At 44.3% G+C, this 19,542-nt stretch overlaps 1 protein-coding gene across 17 annotated transcripts in view; it reads right to left on the bottom strand.

The window, feature by feature from the left end:
• The window catches only part of CNBD2 (cyclic nucleotide binding domain containing 2), a 76,315-nt gene that overhangs the window by 20,769 nt on the left and 36,004 nt on the right, over positions 1–19,542 (bottom strand). For 16 of the 17 annotated variants that reach the window (NR_130714.2, XM_047439921.1, XM_047439922.1 and 13 more), the window contains 2 exons: positions 14,780–14,894; positions 1,458–1,635 (listed from right to left, as the gene is read on the bottom strand). Coding sequence is in view for 16 of the 17 variants with exons in the window: in XM_047439921.1 (XP_047295877.1) it covers positions 1,458–1,635; positions 14,780–14,894 (293 nt within the window). In the remaining variant the exon portion in view is untranslated. Of the gene's footprint in view, positions 1–1,457; positions 1,636–14,779; positions 14,895–19,542 lie in introns of those variants that run through there. The other variant, XM_047439928.1, reaches the window with a different exon arrangement.

The following is a 19,542-nucleotide window of genomic DNA, read 5'->3' as shown; positions in this document are numbered from 1 at the left end:
GAAAAATGGGAATGATTATAATAGTACTCGTAGAGTTGTTACAGAGATTAAATTAGATAATTCAGTACTGGGCACAGAAAAGGGGTTTTGTTTTGTTTTTGAGATGCAGTCTCGCTCTGTTGCACAGGCTGAAGTACAGTGGCGTGATCTCAGCTCACTGCAACCTCCGCCTCTTGGGTTCAAGCGATTCTTGTGCCTCAGCCTCCCAAGTAGCTGGAACTACAGGCATCCGCCACCACACCCAGCTAATTTTTGTATTTTTAGTAGAGACGGGGTTTCACCATGTTGGCCAGGCTGGTCACGAACTCCTGACCTCAGGCAATCCGCCCGCTTCAGCCGCCCAAAGTGTTGGGATTACAGGCATAAGCCACCATGCCCAGCCTGTTTCCTTTTTCTTTTTCTTTTTCTTCTTTTTTTAAGAGATAGGGTCGGTTGGGCGTGGTGGCTCATGCCTGTAATCCCAGCACTTTGGGAGGCCGAGGTGGGCGGATCACGAGGTCAGGAGACCGAGACCATCCTGGCTAATACGGTGAAACCTCGTCTCTACTAAAAATACAAAAAAATTAGCCAGACACAGTGGCAGGTGCCTGTAGTCCCAGCTACTCGGGAGGCTGAGGCAGGAAAATGGCGTGAACCCGGGAGGCGGAGCTTACAGTGAGCAGAGATCGCGCCACTGCACTCCAGCCTGGGCAACAGTGCAAGACTCCATCTCAAAAAAAAAAAAAAAGAGAGAGACAAGATCTTGCTCTGTTGCCCAGGCTGGGGTACAGTGACATGATCACAGCTCACTGCATGCAGCCTCAACTTCCTAGGCTCAAGCGACCCTCCTGTGTCAGCCTCCTGAGTAGCTAGGATTACAGGTATGTGCCACTATGCCCAGCTACAAAAAATACTCTGTAAGTGTTAACTATAATTATCATTATCTCATTTAATTGCTGGCTTGCAACAACCCCAAGAGTTAGATGCTATTATCTACCAAGAAATACAGCTTAGAGAGGTCAAGTCCCTTGACCTCTAAAATAAGAGCTAAAATAAGTGGCCAAGCCAGGCTTAATTCCAAACACAGGCTCTTATCTACTATGCTGTAACTGCCTTCCTTAGATGGACAGAATTTTCTGAAGCAGCTCAGAATCAAAAGGGCCCAGAAACACACAGACTGACAGAATGTCAGAGCCAGAAGATATGTCCAGCCCCTTCTTCCTTAAATGGGTTACTGAGGCCCTGAGAAAAGAAGTGGCTGAATGCCTGACGTAGCCTTGTGAGTTACAGGTGGAGAATGCAGGTCCTGGCTCTCAGACCCAGGACATCTCTAGGTTGCCTCATGCACAATCCTTTGGGATTGACCTGTGTCCTCCACCTTTGCCCCTTATCCGCATCCCTGACATTCTGCCATATAAGTATTATCTCCCTTTGCAACCACAATCTGGACCCGTCTATCTGCCCAGGGCTGAGCTTACTGGATCTTCGGGCCCAGCATCTTGGGGAGAGTGTCTCCTGAGGTTCTGATCTTCCTGCTGAAGCTTGTCCCCTGTAGCCCCCAGGCTTTTTTGAGATGTGGAAGTTTCAAGGAGCTAAAGTCTTGCAGAGGATATGATTTGATCTGGAATTCCTTAAATCTTTCCATAGGAGAGTATTCTGTTAGAGAAAGCACAGGAAAAGATACTTATGGATCTTTGCATATATGATGGTTATGGTGGTAGTAGTTGAAGCTTATCACAGGAACCTGCCTGGATGGTCTAGCACATGGGGAAATTTTTTAAAAAAAAAAGAAAGATAAAACACTGTGGCCTCCATGTAATGTCCCTGGGTGGCAGGCCCTGCGCTAGAGCCTTTACATCTATTACATCTGGAGAAGGGTGATTAACACACTTTAAGAGATAAGATGAACAGCAGAGAGCTCAAGTCACCCAGAAAAAGGTTAAAGCTTGGATTTGAACTCAGGTCTCTTGGATTCATTCCATTAACAGACCATATTTATCCCGGCCTTCAAACTGGGCTTTCAAATTGGGGCAGAGTCAGCAATAAGAGATAAATGGATGACTGGTCATGGAACTTTGGACAAGTCATATAAGCATCAGAGCCCTCTCATAGAACTATTGTAAGAATTACAGGCTGTGCATGGTAGTTCACATTTGTAATCCCAGCACTTTGGGAGATCAAAGTAGAGGATCACTTGAGCCCAGGAGTTCAAGACCAGCCTAGGCAACATGGCAAGACCTCATCTCTACAATAAATTAAAGAATTAGCCAGGCATGCTGGTGCACACCTGTAGCTCTAGCAACTGGGGACACTGAGATGGAAGGATTGCATGAGCCCAGGAAGTTGAGGCTGTAGTGAGCTGTGTTTACAACACTGTGTGCAGTCTGGGCAACAGTAAGACTTTGCCTCAAAAAAAAGAATTGCAGATAAAGTATGTGATATGCCTAGCACAGCACCGACATATAATAGGCCCTCCATGAGAGTTATTTAAAAAGATCACCAAGAGCCAGTTGCAGTGGTGCACACCTGAGTCCTAGCTACTCAGGAGGCTGAGGTAGGAGGATTGCTTGAGCCTAGGAGCTCAACTTCAGCCTGGGCAACATAGAAAGACCTCATCTCTTAAAATGAAATTTAAAAAAACTCGAAGGAAATATAATTCAGAAATAAAAAGGAGCAAACTACTCAGCATGCTAAGTAAAAGAAGCCAGAAACAAGAGTCCATACTGTATGATCTTATTTATTTATTTATTTATTTATTTATTTTTGAGAGGATTCTCACTCTGTCGCCCAGGCTGAAGTGCAGTGGTGCGATCTCTGCTCACTGCAAGCTCCACCTCCCAGGTTCATGCCATTCTCCTGTCTCAGCCTCCTGAGTAGCTGGGACTACAGGCGCCCACCACCACGCCCAGCTAATTTTCTGTATTTTTAGTAGAGACAGGGTTTCACCATGTTAGTCAGGATTGTCTCAATCTCCTGACCTCATGAGCCACCTGCCTCGGCCTCCCAGAGTGCTAGGATTACAGGCATGAGCCACCATGCCTGGCCTGTATGATCTCATTTATATGAAACCATAGGAAGACAAATCTAACCTATAATGATAGAAAACAAATCAGTGGTTGCCTAGGGCAAGGGTGAGGGGTAGAGATTGACTGGGAGGCGGCACAAGGGAACTTTGTGGGGTGATGGAAATGTTCTATAACTTGATTGTAGAGGTATAAATTTGTCATGGAACTATGGCCAGGCGCAGTGGCTCACGCCACTGTAATCCCACGCTTTGGAAGGCCAAGGCAGGAGGATCGCTTGAGCTCAGGAGTTCGAGACCAGTCTGGGCAACATGGCAAACCCCCGTCTCTACAAAACATACAAAAATTAGCAGGGTGTGGTGGCATGTGACTGTAGTCCCAGCTACTCAGGAGGCTAAAGTGGTAGGATTACTTGAGTCTGGGAGGTCAAGGTTGTATTGAGCCATGTTCATGCCACTGCACTCCAGACTGGGTGACAAAGTGAAACCTTGTCTCAAAAAGAATTTTTTTTCTAATTTGTCATTTAACTATACACATAAAATATGTGCACTCTATTATATAAAAATTATACGTCAAGAACATTGATTAAAAAAGAGATCTCCAGCCGGGTGTGGTGGCTCATGCCTATAATCCCAGCACTTTGGGAGGCCGAGGCGGGCAGATCAAGAGGTCAGGAGTTCGAGACCAGCCTGGCCAACATGGTGAAACCCCATCTCTACTAAAGATACAAAAAATTAGCTGGGCATGGTGGTGCATGCCTGTAATCCCAGCTACTCCAGAGGCTGAGGCAAGAGAATTGCTTGAACCTGGGAGGCAGAGGTTGCAGGGAGCCAAGATCGTGCCACTGCACTCCAGCCTGGGTGACAGGGCAAGACTCTATCTCAAAAAAAAAAAGAAAAAAAAAATCTCTAGTATGAGAATCAACTCTTCAAATTAATGTCTTTTGTTTGTTTTGTTTTGTTTTTGTTTTTTTGTTTTTGAGATGGAGTATTGCTCTGTCACCTAGGCTGGAGTGTAGTGGCTTGATCTCGGCTCACTGCAAGCTCCACCTCCCAAGTTCACACCATTCTCCTGCCTCAGCCTCCCAAGTAGCTGGGACTACAGGCGCCCGCCACCATGCCCGGCTAATTTTTCTGTATTTTTATTAGAGACAGCGTTTCACCGTGTTAGCCAGGATGATCTCGATCTCCTGACCTCGTGATCCGTCTACCTCGGCCTCCCAAAGTGCTGGGATTACAGGTGTGAGCCACCATGCCCGGCCCCTCAAATTAATGTTAATGGGAATAAATCCAAGTTCCACAAGCAGTAGGTCTGGCTTAACAAAACACATATAAAAAGCCCTGAGTTTGATCTTTCGGAAAGGCACTTCAACAACATCTACCAATGTTTTAAATGTATGTAGTCAGTATGCACTGGATTAACTATTTCAGGGGTCCCCAATCCCCTGGCCATGGACTGGTACAGGTCCGTGGCCTGTTAGGAATGAGGCTGTACAGCAGGAGATGAGTGGCAGGTGCATGAGCATTATCACCTGAGCTCCACCTCCTGTCAGATCAGTGGCGGCATTAGAGTCTCATAGGAGCACAAACCCTATTGAGAACTGTGCATGAGAGGCATCTAGGTTGTGTGCTCCATCTAATGCCTGATGATCAGAGGTGGAACAGTTTCATTCCAAAAGCGTTACCACCTGCCCCCATCTGTGAAAAAATTGTCTTCCACGAAACCAGCCTCTGGTGCCAAAAAGTTTGGGGACCGCTGAACTATTTGATCCAGTAATTCTCAGAATTTGTCTAATACGTTTCCTTGCACACAGATGCAAAGACAAACACACCAGGAAATCTGCCACAGTAGGGTAAACATTTGAAAAAGAATTCAAAATATCTGTAAAAGGTAATTAAATTAATTATGATATATGCATATAATAGAATAAAACTCAACTATTAAAAACATAGATCTAGACTTCTGCTTTTGCTTCCAGCCAAGATGGAATAACAGGGACTAAATTTTCTCTTCTACTTGAAAATATTGGACAACATTTATGGAAAAAATTGTTTTAAAGACATTGAAGGATAGATGCGGTGGCTCATGCCTGTAATCTCAGCACTTTGGGAGGCTGAGGTGGGAAGATCCCTTGAGGCCAGGAGTTCAAGACCAGCCTGAGCAACATAGTGAGACTCTATCTCTACAAAAAGATAAAAAATTAGGTGGGTGTGGTGGCTCATGCCTATAGTCCCAGCTACTCAGGAGAGGCGAGAGGACTGCTTGAGCCCAGGAGGTCCAGGCTGCAATTAGCTATGAACAGGTCACTGCACTCCAGCCTAGGTGACAGAGTGAGACCCTGTCTCAAAAAAAAAAAAAGACATTGAATATCAGGCAATAAAGGACAATCATCCATGATGCAAGACAGAAAACAAATGAGGTGAGCCCTACTACTGCCCCAGCATGCTGCCTAAAGATTTTCTGGGCCATGGTGCAGGGAGGGGGAACTCAGATGGAGCCCAGCAATCTCCTTGAATTGATGAGACAGAAGACATAGTCAGGGGAGGGCAAGGCAGCTAGAGTCCACAGAGCAGGGAACCAGAGAGAAGAGAGCTGCATAGAGACAGAACTCCAAAGATCTGCAGAGAGTTTCCCCTGAAGCTCAGCTGAGTATTAATCAGCACATGTGTATTGGGAAACTACCAGTGGTAGGCAGCCTCTGAGATGGCCACCAGTGAACCCCACCTCCTACTAGTCACACACTTGTGTAATACCCTCCCATTAAGTGTGGGTTGGGCTCACGTCTAACAGGATACAGCAGAAGTGATGAGATTTTATTTCTGACATTAGGTTATAAAAAAACTGTGGCTTCCATCTTGGGCATGTTCTCTGTTGCTCTCTCTCATTCTTGGGGAAACATGTCATGAAACTGCCCTGTAGAGACACCCATGAGGCCAGACACTTGGCCAATAGCCACGTGAGTTAGCCTGGAAGCAGGTCCCTCCCAGATGAGCCTTCAGATGAGACCACAACCCTGGCTGACAATGGCAACCTCAAGAGATTTTTTTTTTTTTTTCAGATGGAGTCCAGCTATGTTTTCCAAGCTGGTCTTGAATTCCTGGACTCAAATGATCCTCCTGCCTCAGCCTCCCAAGTAGCTGGTTCATAAGAGGTCTTGAGTCAGAAGCACCAAACTAAGCTGTGCCCAAATTTCTGACTCACAGAAATTGGGAGAAGTAAATGTCTGTTATTTTAAGTTGCTAAGTTTTGGGGCAATTTGTTACATAGTATACTACCCAAGGCTGGGGAAAGAATCACCCCAAATGATTAGAGGGATAAATCATCAGAGCTCAAACAGGACCAGAAATAGTCCTTTTCCCAATAACTAGAATAGAAAACCTCTCAAGTCATGGGGCATTCTGAAATACACAAAATGGTTTTACTTCACGAATGGGAAACTAGCTCTAGATTAAACACTGTTCTGACCCCACATAACAAATTTAAAAGCAAGCCTTGAAAAGATCAAAATACTTCCAAGTAACTACATCTTAACGTTCAGAAATATTTACAGGAATAAAAAATATGCAGTACTCAAAATTCACATTTTCTAGCATCCTATTAAAAAATCATGAAGGATACAAAGAAGTAGGAAAATATAAACTATATGAAAAGGAAACAATGGATTGAAACTGACTCAGAAATGACACATATGATGGAATTAGTACATAAGGGCATTGGAAGAGCTATTATAATTATATTCCAAGGAAAAAATATTGTGTATATTAAGTAGAGTTGTGGAAATTATAAAAAGACCCAAATCAAACTTTGAGATATAAAAACTAAAATGTCTAAAATGAAAAGTACACTAGGTGGGATTAACAGCAGATTAGACAATGCAGAAGGAGGATTAGAAAACTTGAAGACATAGCAATAGAAACTATCCAAAATGTCACAGAGGAAAAAAAAAAGAATAAAAAAAATGAACAGAACATCAGTGAGCTGTGAAACACAGCAATCCAATATACATGTTGCAATCCAATAATATATTGGATTGTAAGCAATCCAATATACATGTAATTGGAGTTCTCAAAGTGGAGGAGAGGGAGAGACAAATAATTTTTTTGAAAAAATCATGGTCAAAATATTCCAAATCAGATTTTAAAAATACAAACCCAGGAATCCCAGAAACTAAATGAACCTCAAGCACAGAAACATGACAAAAATTATACCAAGGCACAACATAATCAAATTGCTTAAAACTATTGATAAAAAAATTCAAAATCAGCCAAAGCAAAAAGGTACACTGTGTACAGAAAATATACAAGGTTATATAAAGAGTTTATACAAAAATAAAAATGTTGGCCAGGTGCAGTGGCTTATGCCTGTAATCCCAGCACTTTGGGAAGCCAAGGCAGGTGGATCACTTGAGGTCAGGTGTTTGAGACCAGCCTGGCCAACATGGCGAAACCCCATCTCTACTAAAAATACAAAAATTAGGCTCTCCCTCTCCCTCTCCTTCTCCGTCTCCCTCTCCCCACGGTCTCCCTCTCCCTCTCCCTCTTTCCACGGTTTCCCTCTGCTGCCCAGCCGAAGCTGGACTGTACTGCTGCCATCTCGGCTCACTGCAACCTCCCTGCCTGATTCTCCTGCCTCAGCCTGCCAAGTGCCTGCGATTGCAGGCGCGCACCGCCACGCCTGACTGGTTTTCGTATTTTTTTGGTGGAGACGGGGTTTCGCTGTGTTGGCCGGGCTGGTCTCCAGCTCCTAACCGCGAGTGATCCGCCAGCCTTGGCCTCCCGAGGTGCCGGGATTGCAGACGGAGTCCGGCTCACTCAGTGCTCAATGGTGCCCAGGCTGGAGTGCAGTGGCGTGATCTCAGCTCACTACAACCTCCACCACCCAGCCGCCTGCCTTGGCCTCCCAAAGTGCCGAGAGTGCAGCCTCTGCCCGGCCGCCACCCCGTCTGGGAAGTGAGGAGCGTCTCTGCCTGGCCGCCCATCGTCTGGGACGTGAGGAGCCCCTCTGCCTGGCTGCCCAGTCTGGGAAGTGAGGAGCGTCTCTGCCCGGCCGCCATCCCATCTAGGAAGTGAGGAGCGCCTCTTCCCGGCCGCCATCCCATCTACGAAGTGAGGAGCGTCTCTGCCCGGCCGCCCATCGTCTGAGATGTGGGGAGCGCCTCTGCCCCGCCACCCCGTCTGGGATGTGAGGAGCGCCTCTACCCGGCCGCGACCCCGTCTGGGAGGTGAGGAGCGTCTCTGCCCGGCCGCCCCGTCTGAGAAGTGAGGAGACCCTCCGCCTGGCAACCGCCCCATCTGAGAAGTGAGGAGCCCCTCCGCCTGGCAGCCGCCCCGTCTGAGAAGTGAGGAGCCCCTCCGCCCGGCAGCCACCCCGTCTGGGAAGTGAGGAGCGTCTCCGCCCAGCCGGCCGCCCCGTCCGGGAGGGAGGTGGGGGGGTCAGCCCCCCGCCCGGCCAGCCGCCCCGTCTGGGAGGTGAGGGGCGCCTCTGCCCGGCCGCCCCTACTGGGAAGTGAGGAGCCCCTCTGCCCGGCCAGCCGCCCTGTCCGGGAGGGAGGTGGGGGGGTCAGCCCCCCACCCTGCCAGCCGCCCCGCCCAGGAGGTGAGGGGCGCCTCTGCCCGGCCGCCCCTACTGGGAAGTGAGGAGCCCCTCTGCCCGGCCACCACCCCGTCTGGGAGGTGTACCCAACAGCTCATTGAGAACGGGCCATGATGACAATGGCGGTTTTGTGGAATAGAAAGGGGGGAAAGGTGGGGAAAACATTGAGAAATCGGATGGTTGCCGTGTCTGTGTAGAAAGAGGTAGACATGGGAGTCTTTTCATTTTGTTCTGTACTAAGAAAAATTCTTATCCTGTTGATCTGTGACCTTACCCCCAACCCTGTGCTCTCTGAAACATGTGCTGTGTCCACTCAGGGTTAAATGGATTAAGGGCGGTGCAAGATGTGCTTTGTTAAACAGATGCTTGAAGGCAGCATGCTCGTTAAGAGTCATCACCACTCCCTAATCTCAAATACCCAGGGACACAAACACTGCGGAAGGCCGCAGGGTCCTCTGCCTAGGAAAACCAGAGACCTTTGTTCACTTATCTGCTGACCTTCCCTCCACTATTGTCCTATGACCCTGCCAAATCCCCCTCTGCGAGAAACACCCAAGAATGATCAAAAAAAAAAAAAAAAAAAATTTCATACACAAATGAAAAAAAAAAAAATTAGCCAGGCGTGGTGGTGGACGCCTATAATCCCAGCTACTCGTGAGGCTGAGGCACAAGAATACTTGAAACTGGGAGGCGGAAGTTGCAGCTAGCCGAGGTTGTGCCATTGCACTCCAGCCTGGGTGACAAGAGCAAGACTCCATCTCAGAAACCAACAACAACAACAACAAATACAAAAATTAGCCAAGTATGGTAGCATATGCCTGTAGTCCCGGCTATTCAGGAGGCTGAGGCAGGGTAATCGCTTGAACCAGGGAGGTAGAGGTTGCAGTGAGCCGAGATTACACTATTGCACTCCAGCCTGCGTAACAGAGTGAGACTCTGTCTCAAAAATATAAATAAATAAATAAATAAAATGTTAACGGACTTCTTGTTGAAAACAATAAATAAAAATATGAACGGATTTGCTGAAAACAATGCAAGTCAAAAAAGACTTTAATGCAACATCTTTAAAGTAGTGAAAGAAAAAACCTGTCAACTTAGAATTTTATATCCAGCAAAAATTTCTTTCAAAAATGAAGATAAAATAGTTTTCAGACATAGAAAAGCTGAAATAATTCATCACTAACAGAGCTGAAATACAAGAAATGTTAAAGGAAGTACTTCAGGCAGAAGGAAGTGGTTATTAGGTAGAAATCTGGATCTATACAAAGGAACAAAGAACATCAGAAATAGTAACTATGTAGGTTAACATAAGAGTCTTTTCTTATTATTTTTTAAATATACAAAAAAGATACTTGTTTAAGCTGGGTATGGTGGCTGATGCCTGTAATCCCAGCACTTTGGGAGGCTGAGGCAGGTGGATTTCCTGAGGTCAGGAGTTCAAGACCAGCCTGGCCAACATAGTGAAACCCTGTCTCTACTAAAAATACACAAAATTAGCTGGGCATGGTGGCAGGCACCTATAATCCCAGCTACTAGGGAGGCTGAGGCAGAAGAATCACTTGAACCCAGGAGGTGGAGGTTGCAGTGAGCCGAGATCGTGCCATTGCACTCCAGCCTGGGCAACAGGAGCAAAACTCCGTCTCAAAAAAAAAAAAAAAGAAGATACTTGTTTAAAGCAAAAGTAATAACCATGTATGGTAAGGTTTTTAATATACATTAAAGTATAATATATCACAATAGCATAATATCTAGGAGGAGAAAATGGAAATATATCATTGTAAGATTCTGATTCTATACATGAAGTGGTATAATATCACTTAAAGGTAGACTGTGATAAGTTAAAAGTATATACAATGATCATAAAGCAACTGTGAAAATAATACCACAAACAGCTAATAAGCCAACAAAGAAAATAAGATTGAATTATACAAAATACATAATCCAAAAGGCAGGGAAAAACAGAAGAAAAAGGGAATAGATGTGACAAATAGAAAGAAAAATAGCAAGATGGTAGAGTCAAATCCAACCATAATCAATATTAACATTAAATGTCAATGATTAGGCATCTCAATAAAAATTGGGTCTTTCAGCAAGATCCAATTATATGCTGCCTTTAAGAAATTCACTTTTACATATAAAGACACAAATAGGTTAAACACAAAAGGATGGAAAAAGATATACCAAACTAATACTAATCAAGAGGAAGCTACACTAAATCAAAAGAAGTGGCTGAATTTACATCAGAAAAAGTAGGTTTTAGAGCAAAGAATATTACCAGGGACAAATAAGTTCATTTCATAATAATTAAGAGTTCAATCCCAAACATCTATGCATATAATAAAAGAGCTTCAAAATATATGAGGCAAAACAGACAGAAATACAAGGAGAAAAATATATCTATAATTATGGCTGGAGATTTTAACAACTCTATTAAGAATTTTTTTTTTTTTTTTTTTTTTTTTTGAGAGACACAGTCTTGCTCTGTCGCTCGGACTGGAGTGCAGTGGCGTGATCTTGGCTTACTGCAACCTCTGCCTCCCGGGTTCAAGCAATTCTCCTGCCTCAGCTTCCCAAGTAGCTGGGACTACAGGCATGCGCCACCATGCCCAGCTAATTTTTGTATTATTTTGGTAGAGACAGGGTTTCACTATATGTTGGCCAGGCTGGTCTCGAACTCCTGACCTCAGGTGATCTGCCCGCCTTGGCCTCCCAAAGTGCTGGGATTACACGCGTGAACCACCACGCCAGCCTCTATTAACAATTGATAGAGCAAGTAGACAGAAAGTTATAAGGGTACAGATGACTTGACCAATACTATCAACCAACTTCACCTACTTAACATTCATAGAACACTGCACCCCAAAACAGCAAGTTTTTTTCAAATGCAAATGAAACATTTACCAAGACAGACTATATTCTGGACCATAAAACAAGTTTTAATACATTTCAGAGGATTCAAATCATATAAAGTATGTTATCTTAGAATTCAATAACAGAGGCCAGGCGTGGTGGCTCACGCCTATAATCCCAGCACTTTGGGAGGCCGAGGCAGGCAGATCACCAGAGGTCAGGAGTTCAAGCCCAGCCTGGCCAACATGCTGAAACCCCATCTCTACTAAAATACAAAAATTAGCTGGGTTTGGTGGTGCATGCCTGTAATCCCAGCTACTCGGGAGGCTGAGGCAGGAGAATTGCTCGAACCTGGGGGGTGGAGGATGAAGTGAGCTGAGATTGTACCACTGCACTCCAGCCTGGGTGACAGAGCGAGACTCCCTCTCAAAAAAAAAAAAAAAAAAAGAAAAAGAAAAAAGAAATCAGTAACAGAAAGATAGGTGGATAATCCCCCAAATGCTTGGAAACTAAACACTCTTCTAAATATTCCATGGGTCAAAGAAGAAATCAAAAGAGAAATTTAAAGGTATTTTGAACTGAATAACATTGAAAATACAACATATCAAAATTTGTGGGATGCAACTTTTTCTCTGGTGGATTGACAGTGGAAAAGTGACAAACAAGAATTGACATGAGAAGAAACATTTACTGAGTACTTATAAGGCCTCATGCATACATCATCTCACTCTGCCTTCCTAGCAGCCTGTTGTGGTAATGATAACAAACATCTGCCATCTGCCTATGCAGCCAGGTAGTGTTCTAAGAGTTTTTATATATTAATTTGCTTAATGTCATTACAATCCTACGAGGTACGGACCATTATTTACATTTTACAGACTCTGAGGGCACTGGTGCACTTAGACATAGGGCCCACTTGCCCAGTATCACATCACTAATAAGAGAAGGACCCTGTATTCAAACAGAAGCAGTGGACTCCAAGCCTATGCTGCTAACCATGACACTACCCAAGGTAGATATGAAGAAACCAGGCCCAGAGACTTTGAGTACTCACCAAAGCTACCCAGCTAATAAATGGGACTCAAACCCAGCTCTGTTCAGCTCCAACCTCTCCTTTTTCCGCCCTTCTCCTCGCCACCCTGTGTTGGCCTCAGTTCTAATCTCAGGAGGACTGCTATATCTATAAGGCAATCCTTGGGGAGGAGGCCCCAGGATACACAGATTACAATCTCAAGGGAAGTGGGGGGAAGCATGCCAGTACTGAGCAGGAGGTAAGAGATAAGACATCTGAGCCACTGCAAATATCTGTTGAGGGCTGGGGTCCTTGACCCAAGTGGGTGACACAAAAAGATCTGCAGAGGATGGAAGGGGAAAAAAATAAATAAAAATGCCATTACAGAGCTGTGAATGGAAACAATACTACCCTAGAATCAGCAAGCCTGGTTATCACCCTGGCCAGTTCTAGAGGCTGCTACTTGACAACGTCTATGTCCAACAACAGGAAATGGAGAATGAAGAAGGCTGGAGATATTTATGAAGAGAAGAAAGTCTGGGCTTTGGAACCAGTTGTGCCTGGGTTAGAATCCCAACTCTACAGTCCTACATTGCTACTTATTTGCCCTATGAGCCAGTTTCCTCATGTGTCAGATGGTACAATCGTACCTTCTTAAAGAGTTATTAGGCCAGGTGCGGTGGCTCATGCCTGTAATCCCAACACTCTGGGAGGCCGAGGCAGTCGGATCACTTAAGGTCAGGAGTTCGAGACCAGCCTGGCCAACACAGTGAAATCCCATCTGTACTAAAAAAACAAAAATTGGCCGGGCATGGTGGCATGTGCCCGTAATCCCAGCTGCTCGGGATGCTGAGGCAGGAGAATTGCCTGAACCTGGGAGGCAGAGGTTGCAGTGAGCTGAGACTGCACCACTGCACTCCAGCCTGGGCAACAGAGTGAGACTCTGTCTCCAAAAAAAAAAAAAAAACAAAAAGAGAGCTATTATGAGAATTATGCAATATGTATAAACAGTCAAGCCCAATATAATAAACATACAATTAGAATTCAATAAATGATCACTGTTATTCATACTTGTTACTGAGTTGGGATAAGGCTGTGGAGAGTGCGCATACATTCACAGCCTAGGATGTGTCCAAACCACACACAGCAGCCAAAATATGTTTATCCATTAACTCTGTAATTCACTTCTGAGCACCTGCTAGATGCCAGGCATAATACGAAGCCCTGGGAATGCAAAGCCTTCATAGAGCTTATATTCTAGCAAGGGAAACAGATGTTTAATAAGCATTTCAGACTCAGTTGTATGATTTCAGTGGGGTTATATAACACAGAAGAGTACTTGAATGGTACTTGAAGGGTACTAGAATGGCATATAGCAGAGGATGGAAGATCTGGTCCAGCATGAGAAACCAGGAAGACTTCTTCAAGGAAGAATGTGTAGTCTAAGATCTCAAAGACAGAAGTGCTCCCTCTCCATGTGATGCCCTTTGCTGCCCCGGGACTCTGAAGAGTCCCCACCAGCAAGAAGTCCTTCACCAGATGCAGCCCCTCGACCTCAGATTCCCTAGCCTCCAGAACTATAAGAAATAAATTTCTTTTCTTTATAAGTTACCCAGTCTCAGATATTCAGTTATAGAAATAGAAAACTGACTAAGATACCATATGACCCAGAAATTCCACTCCTAGGCATATAGGTAATACCCAAGAGAACTGAAAAATATGTTCACACAAAAACTTGCATACAAATGTTCATAGCAACATTATTCAAAACAGCCAAAAAGTGAAAACAATCCAAATGTTCACCAACTGATAAGTGGACAAAAAAAATGTGGTATATGCATACATTAGAATATTATTCAGCCATAAAACAGAATGAAGAAATGATATCTGCTACAACATAAATAGACCTTGAAAACATGGTGCTCAGTGAAGGAAGTCAGATGCAAAAAGCCAAATAATGTATGATGCTATTTATATGAAAAGTCCATCACAGGCAAATCCAGAGACAGAATGAACAAATAAATAAATAAATTTTAAAAAGCAGAAGAGAGCTGGGTGAAAAAAAGGGTGGGGGATATGTGAGGCAAGGAGTTGATGGTCACGTGGGAGAACCTAAACAGCAAAAGGGAAAAGGCTCAATAAAAAAAAAAGGCTGGAAAGGAGGGCAGGGCCTTGCAGACTGGGTTTCCACCGCTGGTAGAAGGGTGCAGATGATATACGCTGTCAGGCTGGCTGACTAGATTTCTAAGGCTCTATGTGCTGGGAACTGGAAACAGGACAGGCCCAGGCGCCCCCTGCTGTCAGACAGGCCAAGGCAGCTTACCACTCAGGTGGGTCTTCAGAGGTCTGCCATCTATCAGCTCCAGGTGCTGCCAGATCCATCTACGGTAGGAAGGGGAGGCCCCAAGGTCCAACAGCCGCAGGACTTCACAGCTGCCCTGAACACAGCAAGGGACATAGGAAAAGGGTTAACCCCTAAGGCTCCAGGTAGGCCAGGCTTTGAAGAAAATCTCTCTTAATTGCATCTTATCCCATTTTGTTTTATTTGCTTAATGCAAGTGGTTTCAGGTTCTTTTTTCTTTTTTTTGAGATGGAGTCTCACTTTGTCACCCACGCTGGAGAGCAATGGGGCAATCTCGGCTCACTGCAACCTCTGCCTCCTGAGTTCAAGCGATTCTCCTGCCTCAGCCTCCTGAGTAGCTGGGATTATAGACATGTGCCACCATGCCCGGCTAATTTTTGTATTTTTAGTAGAGACGGGGTTTCACCATGTTGGCCAGGCTGGTCTCGAACTCCTGACCTCAAGCAATCTGCCTGCCTCGACCTCCCAAAGTGCTGGGATTACAGGTGTGAGCCACCACGCCCAGCCTGGTGCTTTTTTTTTTTCTTTTTTTTTTTTTAAATGAAAATGTTATTTACTCACCATACGAAGTTCAAGTAACTGAAGAAGCATAAGAACTAAATATAAGCCAGGCACGGTGGCTCACGGACTGTAATCCCAGCACTTTGGGAGGCTGATGTGGGAAGATCACTTGAGCCCAGGAGTTCAAGACCAGCCTGGCCAACATGGCAACACAAAATTATTTTGTCTCTACTAAAAATACAAAAATTAAGCCGGCCTTGTGGCTCACGCCTGTAATCCTAGCACTTTGGGAGGCTGAGGCAGGCAGATCACCTGAGGTCGGGAGTTCGAGACCAGCCTGACCAATATGGATAAACCCCGTCCCTACTAAAAATACAAAATTAGCCGGGTGTGGTGGCACATGCCTGTAATCCCAGCTATTCGGGAGGCTGAGGCAGGAGAATCGCTTGAACCCAGGAGGCAGAGGTTGCAGTGAGCCAAGATCGCATCATTGCACTGCAGCCTGGGCAACAAGAGCAAAACTCTGGCTCAAACAAAACAAAACAAACAAACAAAAAAAAACAAAATTAGCCGGGCATGGTGGCGCATGCCTGTAATCCCAGCTACTCAGGAGGCTGAGGCAGGAGAATCGAATCACTTGAACCCAGGAGGCGGAGGTTGCCATGAGCCAAGATCATGCCATTGCACTCCAGCCTGGGCAAGAAGAGTGAAATTCTGTCTCCAAAAAAAAAAAAAAAAAAAAAAAGATTAGCTGAATTAGCTGGGCATGGTGGTGCATGCCTGTAGTTCCAGCTACAGGAGTTCTTTGTACTGTTCTTATAATTTTTTTATAAATTTAAAATTATTCCAAAATTGAAAGTTTAAAAATATTCAAACCAGACATAAAAACATAGAGATAAAAACTACATTAATCCTGACACTCAGAAATAACTAGTAGTAACATATTAGTGAATATTATTTCAAACTTTTCTCTATGAACATATAAGATGTATATCTACAATTTTTCATCAACGAATTCATTTACATAAAACAGACTCTTGTAACTTTTTAAGAAACTCAATAATATATCAAATACCTCTTTTCATGCCAAACAATATGGTTCTATAGTATCATGTTTAATGGTCACATATTATTCTATGCACACCATAATTTATAAAATTAAAAATAACAAATATTCAGTTGAGCAAAAGAAGTCAGAAACAAGGAATACACACTGTATGATTCCATTTATATGAAGTTCAAAAACATGCAAAAGTAACCTGTGGTGACATAAGTCTTAAGAGTATTAAGCTTTGTGGGGGGATTTTGTCTAGGAAGGAGCACAGGAGAGCCTTCTGGAGTAGTGGAAATGTTTTTTATCTTGATTTGGGTAATGATCACTCAGGTGTATACATATATAAAAATTTATGAAGCTGTAAAGTTTAGATTTGAAATCTTTACTGCATACTTTTTTTTTTCTTTTTTTTGAGCTATAGGGGAACTGCAGGTGCCAGAGAAACAACATGAGCCCGGTTTCCTCAAGTATTTAGTAGGTCTTTAATTGCATCTATGGAGAGAACAGTTCCACTATGTGTCCCCCAGTGATAAACTGTTAGAAATGAGTTGAAAGTGTGCATTAAGTTTTCGATGCCATCAGGAAATCTTCTCTAGCTTTCTGAGGTCCCAGGGGTGTCCAGCCACCCGCAGCTGATTTTGCCCTCTAGTGGTAATATGAGTAAACTACAGGAGTCGGGACAGCTTGATCTCCCTCCCAGAGATGAACACTCAAAAAACGCTGGCCAGGCAGGAAAAAAAAAGAGAGAAAAGAGCAGTCCTTTAGAGGGGGCTGGTGCTTTTCATTTCCAACCAGGGTCGGGGGGTGGGGGAGGGGGTGCTGTACCAAAATATGGCTTGTTGTTGCCTGATCCTCTGAATTCTCAAAAGCCAGAAATCAGAATTTTTATATAAAATCTTCACATTGATGATTAAATCAGATTTTAATAAAACACTGTAAGGAACAAACCAGATTCATCTTCTGGCCAAGAGCTCCCTACCTTGCTGTCCTTTAGTGACTTCCGCATTATTTTTCTCAGAATGAAGGCTCAGCACCCCTGCATTAGAATCCCCTACAGCACTTGCTCAAATGCAGATTCCAGAGTTAATGAATCAATCTCTGGGGTGAGACAGCAAATCTGCCTTTTTAAAAAGCACCCTATGTGTTTGTATGCTTACCAAAGTTTGAGAATTCCTCCCTCAGGAAGCACCCTACATGTCTGGATGCTTACCAAAATTTGAAAATTCCTCCCTTAGGTCAGGGGTTCTCCTACATCAGTGTGCATTGGAATCGCCTGGAAGCCTTGTTAAAACACAGATCACTGAGCCCTTCCTCCTAGAGTTTTGGATTGAGTAGCTCTTGGGTGGGCCTGAGAATTTGCATTTTGAAATGAGTTCCCCGCCAGGCGCGGTGGTTCATGCCTGTAATCCCAGCACTTTGGGAGGCCGAGGAGGGTGGAACACCTGAGGTCAGGAGTTTGAGACCAGCCTGGCCAACATGGTGAAATCCCATCTCTACTAAAAATACAAAAATTAGCCAGGCCTGGTGGCGGGCACCTGTAATCCCAGCTACTCAGGAGGCTGAGGCAGGAGAATCACTTGAACCCAGGAGGTGGAGGTTGCAGTGAGCCAAGATCGTGCCATTGCACTCCAGCCTGGGCGACAGGAATGAAACTCCATCTCAAAAAAAAAAAATAAAAGAAGAAGAAATGAGTTCCCAAGTGCTGCTGGTGCTGCTGGTCCAGCCACCGCACTTTGAGAAGCACTGGATTGCGGGAGGAATGCTCACTGAGTAAGCATGTACTAAACTGATTCTCATCCTTACCAGACTTTATGGGGTGATTGGTACCATTTCACAGGTGAAGCAATGGAGGCAAAACAGATGAAGAACCACCCCCCGCTTTCTGCCAGTCAGAATGTAATCATTATGCTGATTAAAGAAAATATTGTAAAGGATTTCTATCCCTCACCACACATCCCCCCATCTTTTCTGGCTATATAGTATCAAAGAGCTTAGAGTTAAATTTGGAGAGATATGGCAGAGGTGATCACCTCAAAATTTTAGCACAGAGGAAGCAAATATCAAGGAGGAGAAGGAACTGCCAATTGATATCTGGCAATAAATCTTTTGCTACTTATATTAACTAGACTTGATTCTGTTCTCTGGGACTGAGCCGAGAATAACAACACACACACCACGCCCCTGGTGGTGCTGGTAAGTTTAACAACCAGCTCTCCTAAAAAACATATGCCTGCATATAAACCTGTTATACAGAATGTGTTACACACAATTTATAAATAATAAAATATACCATACAGGAAATTCCATACAGCCAATCAGCTCTCACAGAATTCTTTTGTGGGTTTTGGCTGAATCTTGTATCCATGGCCAGTTTATAGTTGCAACTCAAACATGATTGGACAAATGAAGTTGCATCCCAATCCATTCTCTTCCCAATAAATTCAATGTTATTAAATCTGACTTGTGATATACTGTTCTATTTCTCACCCTCACATAAATTATATTAAACTGAAATGTTTTTTAGCTTTAGCACTATGTACATCAGAACTTCATTTGTTCAATGGTATAACTTCTATGATGAATGAGATAATAGCTTTTTTTTTAAATTAATTTTTTTTGAGACTCTGTCACCCAGGCTGGAGAGCAGTGGCATGATCTCAGCTCACTGCAACCTTCACCTCCCAGGTTTAAGTGATTCTCCTGCCTCAGCCTCCTGAGTAGCTGGGACTATAGGTGCACACCACCACGCCTGGCTAGTTTTTGTATTTTTAGTAGAGATGGGGTTTTACCATGTTGGCCAGGCTGGTCTCAAACCCCTGGCCTCAAGTGATCCACCCGCCTCGGCCTCCCAAAGTGTTGAGATTACAGGCGTGAGCCACTGTACCCAGCCAGATAATAGCTTTTATTTGTTTTTATTTATTTTATTTTTTTGAGATGGAGTCTCATTCTGTTGCCCAGGCTGGAGTGCAGTGGTGAGATATTGGCTCACTGCAACCTCCACCTCCTAGGTTCAAGCAATTCTCCTGCCTCAGCCTCCAAGTAGCTGGGATTAGGCATGCGCCACCATGTCCAGCTAATTTTTATATTTTTAGTAGACATGAGGTTTCACCATGTTGGCCAGGCTAGTCTCGAACTCCTGACCTCAAGTGATCCATCCATCTCAGCCTTC

Source organism: Homo sapiens, chromosome 20 (assembly GCF_000001405.40).
Source record: "Homo sapiens chromosome 20, GRCh38.p14 Primary Assembly".
NCBI lineage: Eukaryota > Metazoa > Chordata > Mammalia > Primates > Hominidae > Homo > Homo sapiens.
The sequence above is the reverse complement of the archived record's forward strand: the minus strand, read 5'-3'. Positions and strand labels throughout refer to the sequence as shown.